Consider the following 638-nt stretch of genomic DNA (forward strand, 5'->3'; position numbering starts at 1 on the left):
CCTGCCAGTCTAGTTGATATTAAATATTATAAGCAGTATAAAGAATTAAAATGGCCGGGCACAGTGGTTCATGCCTGGAATCCCAGAACTTTCAGAGGCCGAGGCAACTGGATCACCTAAGGTCAGGAGTTCCAGACCAGCCTGGCCAACATGACGAAACCCCATCTCTACTAAAACTGCAAAAAATTAGCTAGGCATGGTGGCGGATGCCTGTAATCCCAACTACTCAGGAGGCTGAGCCAGGAGAATCGCTTGAACACGGGAGGCGGAGGTTGCAGTGAGCCAAGATTGCACCACTGCACACTAGCCTGAGCAACAAAAGCAAAACTCAGTCTCAAAAAAAAAAAAAATATATATATATATATATATGTATATACACACACACACATATATATGTAAATATGGAAAATTGATTTTTTGAAGAATTGGTCTTTGAGTGCATTGCCGCTCAGTGAATTATTTATTAGATGCAGATTCGGGGTGAGACACTGTAGCCTCTCTTTCTTAAAACAACCAAACTATTATACTGACTGAAGCCCAGTTTCAGAACTGGGAAGGAAGGAATGAGTTAAACGCACAGGCTTGGAGGACTACAAGTCAGTAGAGTTCTCAGTTGAATTTCTTCATCCCTCCAGAGA

This window comes from Homo sapiens, chromosome 6 (genome assembly GCF_000001405.40).
Source record: "Homo sapiens chromosome 6, GRCh38.p14 Primary Assembly".
Classification (NCBI taxonomy): Eukaryota; Metazoa; Chordata; class Mammalia; order Primates; family Hominidae; genus Homo; species Homo sapiens.